This window comes from Homo sapiens, chromosome 1 (genome assembly GCF_000001405.40).
Source record: "Homo sapiens chromosome 1, GRCh38.p14 Primary Assembly".
NCBI classification, from domain to species: Eukaryota; Metazoa; Chordata; class Mammalia; order Primates; family Hominidae; genus Homo; species Homo sapiens.
The window spans coordinates 23,868,853-23,888,136 of record NC_000001.11 but is presented as its reverse complement, the minus strand read 5'-3'; the positions used below and the strand labels follow the sequence as shown (position 1 = coordinate 23,888,136).

At 46.1% G+C, this 19,284-nt stretch overlaps 1 protein-coding gene and 1 pseudogene across 4 annotated transcripts in view; one reads left to right on the top strand and one right to left on the bottom strand.

Moving 5' to 3' along the window:
• CNR2 (cannabinoid receptor 2) overlaps window positions 1-17,622 on the top strand; it is a 42,848-nt gene extending 25,226 nt beyond the window's left edge. For 2 of the 4 annotated variants that reach the window (NM_001841.3, XM_011540629.4), the window contains exon 2: window positions 12,475-17,622. In NM_001841.3, coding sequence (NP_001832.1) covers window positions 12,520-13,602 — 1,083 coding nt within the window. In that variant the 5' untranslated portion in view covers window positions 12,475-12,519 and the 3' untranslated portion in view covers window positions 13,603-17,622. Of the gene's footprint in view, window positions 1-4,539; window positions 4,993-8,532; window positions 8,634-12,474 lie in introns of those variants that run through there. The other 2 variants (XM_017000261.3, XM_047444833.1) reach the window with 2 other exon arrangements.
• Window positions 5,785-5,882, bottom strand: LOC124904841 (uncharacterized; annotated as a pseudogene).

Here is a 19,284-nt window from a genome sequence, read left to right as displayed (position 1 = left end):
AGCCCAGGACAAAGAAAACGAGTCCCCTTTAAGCATTTTGAGGTGGGCATTATGTGAAGCAGGAAGCAGGCTTACAAGAGCAAGAATAAAGGCTGTTGTGACACTTTTGCAACATGTCTTACATCTCTGGGAAAACTTGGTTTGCAGCTTATGCTTATTTGTCTTGTGACCTTGCAGCTGTGCAGGGGAGAAAGAAGCAGGAGTTTAAGGAGCCTACAAAATATGTGGAGGGTAGATATGGTTAATGTTTCTTGGGACAGACGGTTAATTTTTTTTTTTTAACTTTAACTTCGGGGGGCTACTTAAATTTTTTTTTTAGCCTTGGTTAATATAGCAATTTATTTTATGAGCTTTTTTAACTATTACTATAATTTTTACTATTATTACTTATACCATTATTCTGTTATTTTCTTAATTTCCTACTTCATCTCTGTGCTGGATGTTCAGACACAGTCTTCACCCTGGAAAAAGGCCCTGTCTAGAAGCCAGAGATTCTGACTCCAAAAGGGATTTATAGCTGTCCAAAGGGAAGACAGTGAGCTGGGTTTCCCGTTGCTCTGTGTGTCCCATTGTCAGATGCTGGCTTGTTAAGACCTGCATCCAAATGCCTGAATTTCTTTCCCTTATCTACTTTGGATAATAACCACACATGTTGGTGGCCATGCCAGGCCTAGATGAGACCTGAAGCCAGCCTCCATCAGCCCCAGCATCCCTCTTCTAGGCTGAATTCTACATGGGGTGAGCCATTTCCTGACTGGAAGGGGTTGTTTTCCAAGGGAAACAAGGGAAGAGAGTCCCTGGGTGGCAGGTGATGGGGCAGGGGGTTCCTAGCAGGGTTGCAGGGATCCTCTTAGCCCCCTGAGCTGGAAACTTTCAGAAGTAGCCAAGTGGGGATGTGGGAGCTGAGAAAGGCTTGCACTGTCTGTCACTCACTAGTGACCAGGGTGGAGAGGTGAGCTGGCACCTTTTTCTGTCTGAGCTCAGGTGTGACCTTGACAACACTCAACAAAGGTTACCAGCCTGGCCAACATGGCAAAACCCTGTCTCAATTAAAAATACAAAAATTAACCAGGCATGGTGGCGTGCACCTGTAATTCCAGCTACTTGGGAGGCTGAGGCAGGAGAATCACTTGAACCCGGGAGGCACAAGTTGCAGTGAGCCGAGATTGTGCCACTGCACTCTAGCCTGGGCAACAGAGCAAGACTCTGCCTCAAAAACAAAAATAAAAAACAAAAAAAACAAAAAAACCGCAAAGGGTGTCTGTCTCCAACTTCTCTGCATAGGGCCATCTCTATGCCTATTGCACTGGAGTTTTGCCTTGTGACTCGGGATATGTGGATAATTGCAGCTCTGCTGCTCATATGTTGGGTGACCTTAGGCAAATTATATCCCCATTCTTGGACTGTTTTCTGGATGGCAAAATGATGGCGTTGGATTAGAAGAGAGGTTTTTCAATCTGTTCCTAGAGGAACCTGGGCTGCCTTGAAGAAAGGACATAGTGATATGAATCCCCCTGCAGTCAAGATATGGCTTACTCCATGTAGAATCCACCCTAGAAGAGGGATGTTGGGGGTGGCGGTGGCTGGCTTTGGGCCTCACCTAGCCCCGGCATGGCCACCAACATGCGTGGTTATTAACCAAAGTAGGTAAGGGCAGGAAATATGGGCATTTGGATGCAGGTCTTAACAAGCCAACGTCAGGACGCACAGAGCAACAGGAAACCCAGCTCCCTGTCTTCCCTTTCGACAGATAGAAATCCCTTTCGGAGTCAGAGCCCCTGGCTTCTAGACAGGGCCGTATCTACCTGTTTTATAAACAGGGGTTATGCAGATTGCAAGAAGCACCTATCCTCTTAAAAATTTTAAAGTCGTTGGGTTGTAATAAGAACTGACATTTATTGAGCTCTTATAATGCACCAGGCATATTATTCTTTTTTTTTTTTTTTTTGAAATAGAGTCTCGCCCTGTCACCCAGGCTGGAGTGCAGTGGTGCAATCTTGGCTCACTGAAATCTCTGCCTCCCAGGTTCAAGTGATTCTCCTGCCTCAGCTTCCTGAGTTAGCTGGGATTACAGGTGTGCGCCACCACACCCAGCTAATTTTTGTATTTTTAGTAGAGACGGTGTTTCACCATGTTGGCCAGGTTGGTCTCAAACTCCTGACCTTGTGATCTGCCTGCCTTGGTCTCCCAGAGTGCTGGGATTACAGGTGTGAGCCACCGTGCCTGGCCACCCCCCCGCCGCCACCCTTTTTCTTTCCTAGGACAGATTCTCGCTATGTCGCCCAGGCTGCAGTACAGTGGCGCAATCTCAGCTCACTGCAACCTCCGCCTCCTGGGTTCAAGTGATTCTCCTGCCTCAGCTTCCTGAGTAGCTGGGATTACAGGCGCACGCCACCACGCCTGGTCAATTTTTGTAGTTTTAGTAGAGACAGTGTTTCACCATGTTGGCTGAGCTGGTCTCAAACTCCTGATCTCGTGATCCACCTGCTTCAGCCTCCCAGAGTGCTGGGATTACAGGTGTGAGCCGCCGCGCCCGGCCCAGGCATATCATTCTTAGCAACCTCACAGAGTAGGTGAACTAACCCCATTTGAAGATGTGCCTAAGAATAATAATAATCACAACAGTGGCAACAATGAACACTTCCATGTATGATAGTAATTTATTTAAATACTCAGAAAACCCCATTTTACAGATGAGAAATGAGAAGACCAAAGCATTAGGTATTTTGAAAGAGGTCACTGGGTAGGATTTAAACCTACATGGTTTGTTCCCATCTCCCTCACACTCATACTTGGGGTCTACAGTATTCAAGACAGCCCCTTTCCATCCAAGTGCATTTCATTAATTAATAGCTTTTTTTTTTTTTTAAGGAGATGGTGGTCTTTCTCTGTCAACCAGGCTGGAGTGCAGTAGCATGACCATAGCTCACTGCAGCCTCCAACTCCCGGGCTCAAGGGATCCTCCCATTTCAACCTCCCAGAACTCCGTGATTACTGGTGTGAGCCACTGTACCCAGCCTCAGTTAATAGTTTTTGAGGCCGGGCATGGTGGCTCATGCCTGTAACCCCAGCATTTTGGGAGGCCGAGGTGGGTGGATCACGAGGTCAGGAGTTCAAGACCAGCATGGCCAAGATGGTGAAACCCCACCTCTACTAAAAACACAAAAAATTAGCCAGGCACAGTGGCAGACGCCTGTGATCCCAGCTACTCGGGAGGCTGAGGCCGGAGAACCGCTTGAACTCGGAAGGTGGAGGTTGCAGTGAGTTGAGATCATGCCACTGCACTCCAGCCTGGGCGACAGAGTGAGACTCTATCTCAAAAAAAAAAAAAATTGTTTTTGAGCACCTGCTATGCAGCAAGCATTGTGCTGAGCCACTAAAGGTCCAGAAATAATAAAGCCTTAGTTCTGACCTCGACCAGCCGTGTGGCCTCAGCCCAATGCTTTAACATTGCCGACCTTTTATTATCTGTGAAATAGCAATAAGCATAACTCTAATATCATAGAGTTGCGGGGATTAAACTAGATGGTCAGCTGGGCATGGTGGCTCACACTTGTAATCCCAGCACTTTGGGAGGCTGAATCGGGTGGATCATTTGAGGTCAGGAGTTCGATACCAGCCTGGCCAACATGGTGAAACCCCGTCTCTGCTAAAAATACAAAAATTAGCTAGGTGTGGTGGTGTGTGCCTGTAATCCCAGCTACTTGGGAGGCTGAGGCATGAGAATCGGTTGAACCCAGGAGGCAGAGGCTGCAGTGAGCCGAGATCGCGCCACTACACTCCAGCCTGGAATCCCAGCACTTTGGGAGGCCAAGGCGCGCAGATCACTTGAAGCCAGGAGTTCGAGACCAGCCTGACCAACAACCCCGTCTCTACTAAAAATACAAAAATTAGCCAGGCATGGTGGCAGGTGCCTGTAATCCCAGCTACTCGGGAGGCTGAGGCACAAGAATCGCTTTAACTCGGGAGGCAGAGTTTGCAGTGAGCCGAGATTGTGCCACTGCACTCCAGCCTGGGCGACAGAGTGAGACTCTGTCTCAAAAAAAACAAAAACAAAAAAAGACATAAAGATGTCTATAGAGAGGCACAGATTTTTCCTTTTGCCTCAGGCAAGGCTCGGTTTTCAACTCCAGTCTGGGGAAAATCCCTCCAGATTCTCTAAAATGTTATATTCCTGCCTGCAAGTTCTCTTCACTTTTATCTACTCATAAATCCTCTAAACTCTCCTTAAGGATTAGGCTTTACAAGGGATTGGCCCAACACTGTGGGGGGTTTTTTTGTTTTTGTTTTTTTGTTGTTTGTTTGTTTTTTGGAGATGGAGTCTTGCTCTGTCACCCAGACTGGAGTGCAGTGGTGCAATCTCAGCTCACTGCAACCTCCGCCTCCCGGGTTCAAGCGATTCTCCTGCCTCAGCCTCCCAAGTAGGTGGGACTACAGGCGCACACCACCATGCCTGGCTAATTTTTTGTATTTTAGTAGAGACAGGGTTTCACCGTGTTGCCAAGGCTGGTCTTGAGCTCCTGAGCTCAGGCAATTCGCCTGTTTCGGCCTCCCAAAGTGCTAGGATTACAAGCATGAGCTACCACGCCCGGCCTAACACTGTTTTTAAGATTCATCATTGTTGGCACGTTTTCACCACTTTGTGGTATTCCTTCGTATGGCTGTATTACAACTTATTTATCCATTTTCCAGTTGATGGACATTTAGAATTGTTCTTCTATTTCAAAAATGCCAAAGAGAACATTCTTGTACATGCCTCCCTGGACGCACCTGCAGGAGTTCCTCCAGAACGTATTCCCGGGACTGCAATTGATGTATCGTCAACTTCACCAGATTTTGCCAAGCTGCTCTTCAAAGTGTCTGTGTCAACTTACACCCCCATCGCAATGAGAGTTCTTTTGGCTCCACGCCTTCTCCAGCACTCAGTATTGTCAGCCTTACTTTTTTACCGATCTGATGGGAGTGAAACACATTTCTCTGTCTACTATTGAGGTTACGCATCTTTTCAAAGGATTATTGACCATTTCTCTCTCATGCCCTGTATTTTTCTTCATTGTGGTTGCTCTCCTTTTTCCTTTAGTAATCTTGCCTGTGGTCATCTATTTTATAATCTTTTCAAACAGCCAGCTTTGACTTTGTCAGTTCTTTCTCTTCCCTATAGTTTTGCCATGTCATTAATTTCTGCTCTTATTATTTCTGTCTTCTGCTTTCTTTGAATGTATGCCATGGCCCTTCTTCTAATTTCATGAGTTGCATGATGAGCTCATGAGGCTTTTTTATCTTGTAGTATGAGCGTTTATTATTAATTTATTTATTGAGAACAGAGTCTCGCTCTGTTGTCCAGGCTGGAGTGCAGTGGCACAATCTTGGTTCACTGAAACCTCCGCCTCCCAGGTTCAAGCGATTCTCCTGCCTCTGCCTCCCAAGTAGCTGGGATTATAGGCACCAGCCATCATGCGGGCTAATTTTTTTTTTTTTTTTTTTTGTATTTTTAGTAGAGGCGGGGTTTCACCATGTTGGCTAGGCTAGTCTGAAACTCCTGACCTCAGGTGATCCACCCGCCTTGGCCTCCCAAAGTGCTGGGATTACAGGTGTAAGCCACCGCACCTGATAGTATCAGCATTTAGAGCTGTAAATTTCCCTTTGCATACGACTCAGATGAATCTCACACATTTTAATGTCTCACAATTTCGTAGTCATTCAATGCCAAGTATCTTCTAATCGCCTTTATGAATTTTTGACCCAGGAATTGTTCAAAAGTGTGTCTTTTTTTCTTTTTTCACACATCAGACTGGTAACGTGACAATGTCATCATAGGTTTGAGGAACATCTCACACGTGAGCGTGAAAACCAGTCATCACGCTTATGAACTACGAAGGGATCCCGAAGTGTGTTTTTAAAGATCCATACCTGAGGCCAGGCACGGTAGCTCATGCCTATAATCCCAGCACTTTGGAAGGCCAAGGTGGGCAGATAACCTGAGGTCAAGAGTTCGAGACCAGCCTGGCCAGTATGGTGAAACCCCATCTCTACTAAAAATACAAAAAATTAGCTGGTCGTGGTGGCAGGCACCTGTAATCCCAGCTACTTGGGAGGCTGAGGCAGGAGAATCGCTTGAACCTGGGAGGTGGAGGTTGCAGTGAGCCAAGACTGCTCCACTGCACTCCAGCCTGGGCACAACAGTGAGACTCCATCTCAAGAAAAAGATCCATACCTATGAACTTTGTTAGTAATTTTTTTTTTTAAAGACAAAGTTTCGCTCTCGTTGCCCAGGCTGGAGTGCAATGGCACGATCTTGGCTCACCGAAACCTCCGCCTTCCCAAGTTCAAGCGATTCTCCTGCCTCAGCCTCCCGACTAGCTGGAATCACAGGCAGGCACCACCATGCCCAGCTAATTTTTTGTATTTTTAGTAGAGACGAGGTTTCTTCACGTTGGTCAGGCTGATCTCGAACTCCCTACCTCAGGTGATCCGCCCGCCTCGGCCTCCAAAGGGCTGGGATTACAGGTGTGAGCCACCATGCCCGGCCTAGCAATTTTTTTTTTCTTTTTTTGAGACAGGGTTTCACTCTGTTGCCCAGGCTGGAGTGTAGTGATGCTCATTGCAGCCTCCGCCTCCTAGGTTCAAACGATTCTCCTGCCTCAACCACCTCAGTAGCTGGGATTACAGGTGTGCACCACCAGGCCTGGTTAATTTTTGTATTTTTAGTAGAGATGGGGTTTATTAGAGACAGGCTGGTCTCAAACTCCTGGCCTCATGTGATCTGCCCGCCTCGGCCTCTCAAAGTGTTGGGATTATAGGCATGAGCCACCATGCCCAACCAGTAATTTTTTAAAATTATTATTATTACATATATTTTTTGAGACGGAGTCTCACTCTGTCACCCAGGCTGGAGTGCAATGGTGTGATTTTGGCTCACTGCAAACTCCGCCTCCTGGGTTCAAGCGATTCTCCTGCCTCAGCCTCCCGAGTAGCTGGGATTACAGGTGCCTGCCACCATGCCCAGCTGATTTTTGTATTTTTAGTAGAGATGGAGTTTCACCATGTTGGCCAGGCTGGTCTCTAACTCTTGACCTCAGGTGATCTGCCCGCCTTGGTCTCCCAAAGTGCTGGGATTACAGGTGTAAGCCACCACGCCCAGCCTTAATTATTAATTTCTAAATAAATTTTATGTGGTCAGAATACAATTTTATACAACAGATCATTTTATATTAATTTATATTTATAATTATATTTAAATTATATGTAATATGTTAATTTATATTTAAATTACATATATAAACTATAGGCTGGGTGTGGTGGCTCACATCTGTGATCCCAGCACTTTACGTGAGGTCAGGAGTTTGAGACCAGCCTGGCCAACATGGTGAAACGCCATCTCTACTAAAAATATATATATTAAAAAAAGCCATGCCTGGTGGCAGGCACCTGTAATCCCAGCTACTCAGGAAGCTGAAGCAGGAGAATCACTTGAACCCTGGAGGCGGAGGTTGCAATGAGCCAAGATCGCGCCATTGCACTCCAGCCTGGGTGACAAGAGTGAAACTCCATCTCAAAAAAATAAAAACTAAAAATAATACATTTTATATATTAGAAGGTGATAGTGGTATGGAAAAAATAAAGACGAGGTCAGTGTAAAGAAAAGCAAAAGAGCTGGAGGTTGGGCTAGGTGCAGTGGCTCATGCCTGTAATCCCAGCACTTTGGGAGGCTAAGGCGGGCAGATCACGAGGTCAGATCAAGACCAGCCTGACTAACACGGTGAAACCCCGTCTCTACTAAAAATATGAAAACTTAGCCGGGCATGGTAGTATGCGCCTGTAGTCCCAGCTACTCGGGAGGCTGAGGCAAGAGAAAGGCTTCAACCTGGGAGGCGGAGGTTGCAGTGAGCCGAGATTGTGCCACTGCACTCCAGCCTAGGTGACAGAGTGAGACTCCGTCTCAAAAAAAAAAGAGTTGGAAGTTGGGATGAGTTAGGGTATTACATGGGGTAGTCAGGGTAGGTGTCATTGAAAAAGTAAGATCTGGGCAAAGACTTAAACAAGGTGAGAGCAAGCCAAGTAAATGTTGAGGGAAAGGTGATCCAGGAAAAGGGAACAGCCAGTGCAAAGGACCTGTGGCTGAAGAGAAGACTGATTAAGAAGCCAATGTGGCTAAAGCTGGGTCACCAAGGGAATCATGGTAGAAGGGACCATAACACTAAGGACTTTGGCTTTTACATAGTGGACTAGGGAGCTATGCAGGGTTTGGGACAGAGAAATGACAAGATCCTATATTTTTAAAGGATCACCCTGACTGCTATGTTGAAACTAGATTAGAAATGGGCCTGATTAAAAGCAGGGGGCCCAGTTAGGAAGCTATTGCAATAAACCAGATAAGAGATGATGCCTGGTTTTTTTTTTAAGCCTAAAATTAATCAATGTCTTTACCCACTTCCTAGATAAAGCTTTAACTCTATTCATCTCTTTCTTGTCTTGCATTTTTGTCATTCACAATTTTATTTCTACTTTGTTTTTGTTTTTGTTTGAAACAAGGTCTCATTCTGTCACCCACACTGGAGTGTGGTGGCACAATCATAGATCACTGCACACTGGACCACCTGGGCTGAAGTAATCCTTTGACCTCAGCCTCCCAGGTAAATGGGAATACAGGCATATGTCACCACGCCTGGCTAAATTTTTATGTCTTGTAGAGATGGGTTTCACCATGTTGCTTAGGCTGGTCTTGAACTCCTGGGCTCAAGCAATCCTCCTGCCTTGGACTCCCAAAGTGCCAGGATTTCAGGCATGAGCCACTGTGCCCAGTCTCCACTTTGGTTTTGTTTGTTTGTTTTGTTTTGTTTTTTGAAACAGAGTCTCACTCTGTCACCCAGGCTGGAGTGCAGTGGCATGATCTCGGCTCACTGCAACCTCTGCCTCCCAGGTTCAAGCAATTCTCCTGCCTCAGTCTCCTGAGTAGCTGGGACTACAGGTGCACACCACCACGCCTGGCTAATTTTTGTGTTTTTAGTAAAGATGGGCATAAATTACTCACTATTATCATTGTTGTTTTATAAAGCCATTTGCTTTTCTTTACTCATATTTGTCAACTTACTTGCTCACTATTCTTTCTTGCCGTTCTTTTCTTCCCTTTGGGTTGAATTTCCTTCTAAAATGCACATTCTTTAGATGTTCCTTCAGTGAAAGTCTGTTAGTGAACAATTTTCTTTGAATTTTTTAGACCTCATTCTTGAATGATAGTTTAGCTGGGTATAAAATTCTAGACTGACAGTTTTTTCTTTATTTTTTGGCTTCTATTGTTGCTGATCAGAAATCTGCTCTTAAAATTAATTATGGTTCTCTTACAGGTAATTTGGCTTTTCATTCTTACTGCCTTATATTTTTCTTTGTCTTTGGTATTCTGATATGTATGCTATATGATATACATGAACATGGAATGTGTTTTTAAAAATTCTACTTGGGGCTGGGTGTGGTGGCTCACGCCTATAATCCCAGCACTTTGGGAGGCCGAGGTGGGCATATCACCTGAGGCCAGGAGTTCAAGCCCAGCCTGGCCAACATGGAAAACCCCTTTTCTACTAAAAATACAAAAATTAGCTGGGCATGGTGGTGCACACCTGTAGTCTCAGCTATGTCAGGAGGCTGAAGCTGGAGAATCACTTGAACCTGGGAACTCTGTCTCAAAAAAAAAAAAATTCTGCTTTGGGTTCCCTGTGATTTCCAAATCTGAATAGTCTTATTTTTCATGGATCCTGAATAATTCTTTTTTGTTGTTGAGGCAGGGTCTCATTCTGTTGCCCAGGCTGCAGTGCAATGGCATGATCATGGCTCACTGAAGCCTTGGCCTCCCTGGGCTCAAGTGATCCTCCCACCTCAGCCTCCCAAGTAGCTGAGACAATAGGCATGCACCACCATCCAGCTAATTTTTGTATTTTTTTGTAGAGATGGGGTTTTCCCATGTTGCCCAGGCTGGATGGATAATTCTTTACTACTACCTCTTTGACTATTGCCCACCACCAGTTTTCTCTGTTTATCCTCTCTAACACTCCTCTGAGATATAAACATTTTTACTCAATCCTTCATAACTCTTAACTTCTCTTTCTTGTTTTCCATCACTTTATCTCTTTGTTCTGCATTGTGAGAAATTTCTTCAGAGCTACATTCTTTTTTTTTTTTTTGAGATGGAGTTTCACTCTTATCGCCCAGGCTGCTGTGCAGTGGTGCGATCTCAGCTCACTGCAATCTTTGCATCCGGGGTTCAAGCGATTCTCCTGCCTCAGCCTCCTGAGTAGCTGGCATTACAGGTGTCCACCATCGTGCCCGGCTAATTTTTGTATTTTTAGTAGAGACAGGGTTTCATCATGTTAGCCAGGCTAGTCTTGAACTCCTGACCTCAGGTGATCCATCACTTCAGCCTCCCAAAATGTTGGGATTACAGGCGTGAGCCACTGTGCCCAGCCCCAGATCTACTTTCTTTTTTTTTCTTTTTATTTTTTTTGAGATGGAGTCTTGCTCTGTTGCCCAGGCTGGAGTGCAGTGGCGCCATCTCGGCTCTCGGCTCACTGCAAGCTCCGCCTCCCGGGTTCACGCCATTCTCCTGCCTCAGCCTCCTGAGTAGCTGAGACTACAGGCACCTGCCACCATGCCCAGCTAATTTTTTGTATTTTTAGTAGAGACGAGGTTTCACCGTGTTAGCCAGGATGGTCTCAATCTCCTGACCTCATGATCCACCCACCTTGACCTCCCAAAGTGCTGGGATTACAGGCGTGAGCCACCGTGCCCGGCCACCAGATCTACGTTCTAGATCAATGCTTTTCAGTTGTTCTGTTTTGCTCTTTAACTCATCCCTTAAGGATCTCTTTTTTCAATGATTTTATTTTTGACTTCCAGAAATTCTACTTGAATCTTTTTCAGATCTACCCAGAAACAATCTCTCATTCTGTACTCATGTTTTTAATTCTTTATTGTTTTTATATCAGACTTTTTTTTTAAGGTATACCCAAGAATTATATGAAGTTATTGAAAGTGGAATTCTACTGTCTGACGTTTCTGCTGACTCTTGCTCATGTTTCCTTATGCATTTTGCATTGTGAACTCAAATTTCACGGGCCTTTATATGTGGTATTCCTATACAACCTGTTTAGAAAGTGAATCGCTCCAAATAAATGTTTAGTTTGCTTTCTAATAATGTCTAATAATAAACCGTACAATATCTAGGTTCCTGAGGGTTTTTTCTTCAATATTTGTGACATATACTAAAAAGTTACTTCTTATTGACATTCATCTTTTTTTTTTTTTTTTTTTTGAGACAGAGTCTTGCTCTGTCGCCCAGGCTGGAGTGCAATGGCACAGTCTCGGCTCACTGCAACCTCTGCCTCCTGGGTTCAAGCAATTCTCCTGCCTCAGCATCCCAAGTAGCTGGGACTACAGGCACGTGCCATCACGCCCAGCTAATTTTTTGTATTTTTAGTAGAGACGGGGTTTCACCATGTTAACCAGGATGTTCTCGATCTCCTGACCTCATGATCCGCCTTCCTTAGCCTCCCCAAGTGTTGGGATTACAGGCGTGAACCACCGTGCCCAGCCAACATTCAAATTTAACTGGACTCCTATATTTTATCTAGTATAAAATGTTTTGGCCAGGCGCAGTGGCTCATGCCTGTAATTCCAGCACTTTAGGAGGCTGAGGTGGGTGGATCACCTCAGATCAGGAGTTCGAGACCAGCTGGCCAACATGGTGAAACCCGGTCTCTACTAAAAGTACAAAAATTAGCCAGGTGTGGTGGGTGCCTGTAGTCCCAGCTACTTGGGAGGCTGAGGCAGGAGAATCTCTTGTGCCTGGGAGGCAGAGGTTACAGTGAGCCGAGATCACACCACTGCACTCCAGCCTGGGCAACAGAGCAAGACTTTGTCTCAAAAATAAATAAATAAATAAATAAATAAAAATTAAAATAAAATAAATTGTTTAATCTTCTGTACTTTCTCTTCCCATCACTTGATGTTAAGCCAAATTCATAAATCCCATCCCCAAATAGTTGTTAAAACTTCAGTACTTTACTTGCCGAAATTGGCAAATTAACAAAACAAAATGTAAAACAAACAAAAAAACCCTCAACCTTATCACTCTAGATTCCATTTCTTCTTGGTTTTGATTTCCTCTTGGTTTTGACCTTTTGGGATTTCCCTTGCTTCAAAAGGAAGTCTTAGGATTAGTCTTTTGGAAAATGGAAGGCCAAAAATCTCACAAGTCACTTCTGCTTGTTGCATTCCCACGTACCTCCCCTGAGGCAGCCAGGACAGATCTGGCTTCCTGCTTGGATGGAGAAAGGGCAAAATACAGGCAAACAAAACAGAAACTGATTTTCCCACATAGAATCCATCCATACAGGTAGCAGTTTTGGCTACAGTCAGTTATCAGGTGAGGTCATTCTTGTGCTTACTGAAAAAGATTATTTTCTTCTTCTCATTGTACTGCAGCAAAGCCTTCTAGACAAGCTCAGTGGAATCTGAAGGGCCCACCCCATGGAGGAATGCTGGGTGACAGAGATAGCCAATGGCTCCAAGGATGGCTTGGATTCCAACCCTATGAAGGATTACATGATCCTGAGTGGTCCCCAGAAGACAGCTGTTGCTGTGTTGTGCACTCTTCTGGGCCTGCTAAGTGCCCTGGAGAACGTGGCTGTGCTCTATCTGATCCTGTCCTCCCACCAACTCCGCCGGAAGCCCTCATACCTGTTCATTGGCAGCTTGGCTGGGGCTGACTTCCTGGCCAGTGTGGTCTTTGCATGCAGCTTTGTGAATTTCCATGTTTTCCATGGTGTGGATTCCAAGGCTGTCTTCCTGCTGAAGATTGGCAGCGTGACTATGACCTTCACAGCCTCTGTGGGTAGCCTCCTGCTGACCGCCATTGACCGATACCTCTGCCTGCGCTATCCACCTTCCTACAAAGCTCTGCTCACCCGTGGAAGGGCACTGGTGACCCTGGGCATCATGTGGGTCCTCTCAGCACTAGTCTCCTACCTGCCCCTCATGGGATGGACTTGCTGTCCCAGGCCCTGCTCTGAGCTTTTCCCACTGATCCCCAATGACTACCTGCTGAGCTGGCTCCTGTTCATCGCCTTCCTCTTTTCCGGAATCATCTACACCTATGGGCATGTTCTCTGGAAGGCCCATCAGCATGTGGCCAGCTTGTCTGGCCACCAGGACAGGCAGGTGCCAGGAATGGCCCGAATGAGGCTGGATGTGAGGTTGGCCAAGACCCTAGGGCTAGTGTTGGCTGTGCTCCTCATCTGTTGGTTCCCAGTGCTGGCCCTCATGGCCCACAGCCTGGCCACTACGCTCAGTGACCAGGTCAAGAAGGCCTTTGCTTTCTGCTCCATGCTGTGCCTCATCAACTCCATGGTCAACCCTGTCATCTATGCTCTACGGAGTGGAGAGATCCGCTCCTCTGCCCATCACTGCCTGGCTCACTGGAAGAAGTGTGTGAGGGGCCTTGGGTCAGAGGCAAAAGAAGAAGCCCCGAGATCCTCAGTCACCGAGACAGAGGCTGATGGGAAAATCACTCCGTGGCCAGATTCCAGAGATCTAGACCTCTCTGATTGCTGATGAGGCCTCTTCCCAATTTAAACAACTCAAGTCAGAAATCAGTTCACTCCCTGGAAGAGAGAGAGGGGTCTTGGCACTCTCTTCTTACTTAAACCAGTCCCAGACACCTAGACACGGACCCCTTTTTGCTGATGAGTGTTGGGACTGACTCCTGGAAGACAGCCTGGCCTTGCCCACCTGCACACAGTCTGTTGGATAGGTAGGGCCACGAGGAGTAGCCAGGTAGGCGAGACACAAAAGGCCTGGGACAGGGTCAGTACAAGTCAGGTCAGGCTTCATGCCTGCATCCTCCAGAGACCACAGGAGCCAAAGCGAGCCTCCAGGCCCAGCAATGAGGGACTTGGGAGAAATCTGAGAAGAATGGGTTGTTCTCTTGGGAAGTCAGGGTATCAGATGGGATGGACATCCAGGTCTTCTCTCTGCCTAATTGTCAAGGCCTCCTTGGCTCTGGAGCTATGAAAGGCCCCACTTTCAAGTCACCCTTGCCACTGAGGACCGAGGACTATGCTATGATGAGGATTAAGGTGTTGACTTGCCTCTTTCAGAGATAAATGACAAGCCTTCAGTTTGGGGCATCCTGTTGTTTGGGCGAGGACCCTCTCTGATATTCTGATAATCCCCACCTGTAACCTCAGGTCCCTGGAAATACAGAGGAGGCTGGGATCGCCTGAGACACAAAAATCTTTGGAGAATTTTCTTGACCCTCTGAAGTCCTTCCAGCAGCAGTCCTGGTGGTGCTGCTGGAAGCAGGCAATGTCCTAGTCTAACCTAACTCGAAGAAAAAAAGGAAGATATTCACAAAGATTGTATAAATCTCCAAACTGTTCCCCTATCTGCCCCCAATTCAGCTCCCTTGCCTCCTCCACACCCCTATTACATATAATAAGCAGAGCAAGTGGGAGGAGGGGAAATGTCCTTCCTATATGCCAGGTATGGGGCTGACATTTCAGTCTATTGACCCCAGCTAGAATATAGCTCCATGATTTTAAAGATCTCAGGGGCCAGGCATGGTAGCTCATGCCTGTAATCCCAGCACTTTGGGAGGCCAAGGCAGGTGGATCACCTGAGGTCAGGAGTTTGAGACCAGCCTGACCAATATGGTGAAACCCTGTCTCTACTAAAAATACAAAAATTAGCAGGGCATGGTGGCAGGCACCTGTAGTCCCAGCTACTCGGGAGGCTGAGACAGGAGAATTGCTTGAACCCTGGAGGCAGAGGTTGCAGTGAGCCGAGATTGCACCACTGCACTCCAGCCTGGGTGACAGAGCAAGACTGTCTCAAAAAAATAAAATAAAATAGATCCCAGGGTACTCATTTTTCATATGAGGGAGGCTGGGTTCCTCCCAGAGGAGCCTAAAACAGCCAACAAGAGAAATTGTTGGCGGCAGGAAGATTGCAGAGGAATTCTAATGCAATTATTTGGGACCTCAAATGGAATAAAATGAAAGATATTGGTTAAACATGTCTTCGTTTAATACTTTCAAGACAAAATATCCACTAGCTATTCACTTATTCATTCATCTCATAAACATGAGCCAGGCTCTGTGCAGGGTCCTGAGTACCCAGCCATAAATGAGACTGTGCCCCTGTCTCATGGGGCTTACAGTCTATATCCTGCTTGCAAGACAGCCAATAAGTCAATAAAGAAGATAATTACAGGCAGTACAACAAAGGAAATATGCAGGTTCATGTCATGTAATAGGGATTAATTGAGTTAACTCAATAAACGGTAGGATAGACCTACCATGTGCCGGCTCACTTTTATTGAGCCTTTACTATGTGCCAGGCAGGGGGCTAAGTGTTTTTAAATGCCTTATTTCACTTCATGTTTCCCAACAACCTAATAAGAAGGTCTTAGTTATCTTCATTTTACAGATGTGGCAACCTCAAAGATGCAAAGTCACTTGTCTAAGGTCACCCTGCTAAGTACCAGAGCTGAGGTCTCCAACCTAGTTCTGTTTGACTTCAAAGCCTGCCCTCTTAACCACTAACCTTTTGTCCTAGTTCAGTCAAATTCTGCTTGATTATTGCTCATTAGGGATAATATTAGCTATCTGTAGCATCAGATTGCTGCAAAGTTAACTCATCGTAGATTCTCAATATACTCCATTTTATTAAATGGCCCCGTATTAATCTCCTGTAATAAATTTCACAAATCCAGTGGCTTATCAACAGAAATTTACTGTCTCATAATTCTGGAGGCCAGAAGTCAAAATCAAGATGTGGTAGGGCCCTGCTCCCTCCAAAAGTTTAAGGGGAGAATTATTCCTTGACTCTTTCAACTTCTGGCAGTCCCTGTCATTCCTTGGCTTGTGGAAACATCACTCCTACCTCTGACTCTGTCTTCATATGGCATTTCCTCTGTGTCTCTTGGTGTCTTTTTTTTTTTTTTTTTTTTTTTTGAGACGGAATCTCATTCTGTTGTCCAGGCAGGAGTGCAGTGACATGATCTTGGCTCACTGCAACCTCCACCTCTCAGGTTCAAGTGATTCTCCTGCCTCAGCCTCCCAAATAGCTGGGACTACAGGCACCCGCCACCACACTCAGCTAATTTTTGTATTTTTAGTAGAGATGGGGTTTCACCATCTTGCCCAGGCTGGTCTTGAACTCCTGACCTCAAGTGATCCGCCCACCTTGGCCTCCTAAATTGCTGGGATTACAGACGTGAGCCACCATACCCGGCCTGGTGTCTTTTTTAAAGAATATCAGTCACTGGATTTGGGCCCACCCTAATCCTAATAGTATGACTTCATCTTAATTTAACCAATTATATCTGTAGAGACCCTGTTTCCAAATAAGGTCACATTCACAGATTCCAGGTGGACAAGAAGTTTAGGCGGACACTATTCAACTCAGTACAGACCCAGGAACAAAGTCCACCCACTGGGCTGTGTTGAGTGGCAGTCACTAGTTTATCCTCCCTCAACAAGATGAGCTCCAGGTTGACCTCTGCATCCCCAGTGCTCAGTCAGGACCCAGCAGAGCATCTGAAGGGATCTGGTCAATATGTGTGGAACTGAACTGTTTCTGAAAAGCTCTGACGTATGTTTTGGAAAATCAAATCTTGTTTTAATCCAGACACCAATCTTTTTGTAAGGCAAACAAGTAGCATAAATGTTTAAAAGTGAATTTGCATGTTTATATACTGTCATTCCTTAAAGTTGAAGCATGCCTTTCTTTATTCATCGGTGGAATCCTTTCTCATTTTGGCAAAGAAAATGCCCAAGTGCCTGGCACAAACAAGCACTGAGTAAATACTTCTTGAATGAATAAAACTAGATTCTAAAAATCATTTGATCAAACGCAACTCCACACTTTCTACTTCTCTTCTTTTAGAACCACACTGTATTTCTGCTTTTTTTTTTTTTTTTTTTTTTTTTGACATAGAATCTCACTCTGTCACCCAGGTTGGAGTGCAGTGGCATGCAATCTTGGCTCACTGCAACCTCTGCCTCCTGGGTTCAAGCAGTTCTCCTGCCTTAGCCTCCCATGTAGCTGGGATTACAGGTACCCGCCACCATGCCCAGCTAATTTTTGTATTGTTAGTAGAGATGGAATTTCACCATATTGGCCAGGCTGGTCTTGAACTCCTGACTTCAAGTGATCCACCCACCTTAGCCTCCCAAAGTGCTAGGATTACAGGTGTGAGCCACCACTCCCAGCCCCTATGTCTGCTTTAAGTGGAGAAGCAGAGCTTATGAGGGAGGAGAACAAGGGTGCAAAAGGGACCTAGATATCACTGAGAACTGCCCTTGTTGTTTGGTTGAGGAAATGGGCCCAGACAGTGGACAAGACTTGCTCAGGGAGACAAACGAGATGGTGTCCAGTGCAACAAACCTAGGTTTCCTAACTTCCAGTTCTGTCCACTCTACATCAGTGCCTCTCACCTGTCCCTGCAGGTTCACATTTTGGTTATGTGGATAAGGAGAAATAAATTGAAGATCACAATGTCCCATTTTATCTTCCCCAAGACAAGCTCTGTAACATTAAAGACCACTATGCAAACCGATTACTAGAAAATGTGTGTGGATGGGTTCGGTTTTTTTCCTAAGGTGTTCATGCTTACTGTTTTGGGCAATATTTCAACATAATCTGGCAGAAAAAGAAACAGAAGATAAAGAAAATAGCTGTAGGCCGGGTGCAGTGGCTCATGCCTGTAATCCCAGCACTTTGGAAGGCTGAGGCTGGCGGATCACTTGAGGTCAGGAGTTCGAGACCAGCCTGGCCAACACGGCGAAACCCCATCTGTATTAAAAATACAAAAATTAGCCAGGCGTGGTGGCGTACCTGTAAACCCAGCTACTCGGGAGGCTGAGGCAGGAGAATGGCTTGAACCCAGGAGGTGGAGGTTGCAGTGAGCTGAGATTGCAGCACTGCATTCCAGCCTGGGCGACAGAGCAAGACTGCATCTCAAAAGAAAAGAAAAGAAAAAAGAAAAGAAAAGAAAAGAAAACAGCTGTGATTCAGCAATAGTCATTTTCTCTCCTTGTCACTGCCAGAGTGAGGAAGTGCTGGGTTCTGTCAACATAGGCTCTGACTTCTCATGAGGTGCAAGAAAGAAGCAGCATGAACAAAGGCATAGATTTTGCACCTGGAGACACGTATTCTAGTCCCACCTCTGACTCAAACTAGCTGCATGATCTTGGGCAGCCCCCCAGCCCTCTCTGGGCTTCAGTTCCCTCCTCGGTACAATGGGAAGGGTAGGGAAGAGGATGGTGCCTAGGATCTTCAAAGTCCCAACTCTGATGTGCTGCCATTCTCTCACTGGCATGTGGGAACTGAGTGTGCTACGTGGAGTCATGAGACTTCTTCTTCCTTTTCTTTTTCTTTTTTTTTTTTTTTTTTTTTGAGACCGAGTCTCACTCTGTCGCCCAGGCTGGAGTGCAGTGGTGCGATCTCGGCTCACTGTAACCTCCACCTCCCGAGTTCAAGCAATTCTCCTGCCTCAGCCTCCTGAGTAGCTGGGATTACAGGCGCACCCCATGCCCGGCTAATTTTTGTATTTTTAGTAGAGATGGGGTTTCACCATGTTGGCCAGGCTGGTCTCAAACTCCCGACCTCAGGTGATCTGCCCACCTCGGCCTCCCAAAGTGCTGGGATTACAGGCGTGAGCCACCTTGTCTGTTCAGAGACTTCTGACTTCCGTATTTCCCTCGCTAATGGCCTCACCTCCCGTTTGAGTATGTGCAGCATGTGCAAATTGCAGAGGAACTGGGGAACTTCCCTGCCAGGCAATCCTGGGTCCTCTTGGCTCTCCACTTCCTCCTTCCTTCCTTCCTTCCTCCTTCCTTCCTTCCTTCCTTCCTTTCTTTCTTCCTTGGTCTGGCTCTGTCGCCCAGGGGCTGGAGTGCAGTGGCGGTATCTCGGTACAAACTAAGCTATTTGAAATGCCTCGGAATTCCCAAAGAAAGCTCAGTAAATACCAGACAGATGAAACGGTCCTGCCCGCTCTCCCTCTTTCAGTACCCAGTTTTCTCTTTCCTCTCCTTTCATAACGTTTCTTCCCATCATCCCTCTACCTCCTTATTTCTGTCAGGGCTGTTAGATACCCTTCCGGTCTGTTATCTCCTCCTCCAGCCTTGTGCTACAGGACAACTCAAAAGCCCCCTATGGCTCCCAAGTGATCACTAAATAAAACTCGTGATCTCACTTCAGCCTACCCCTGCAGGATTGCTGCGGCAA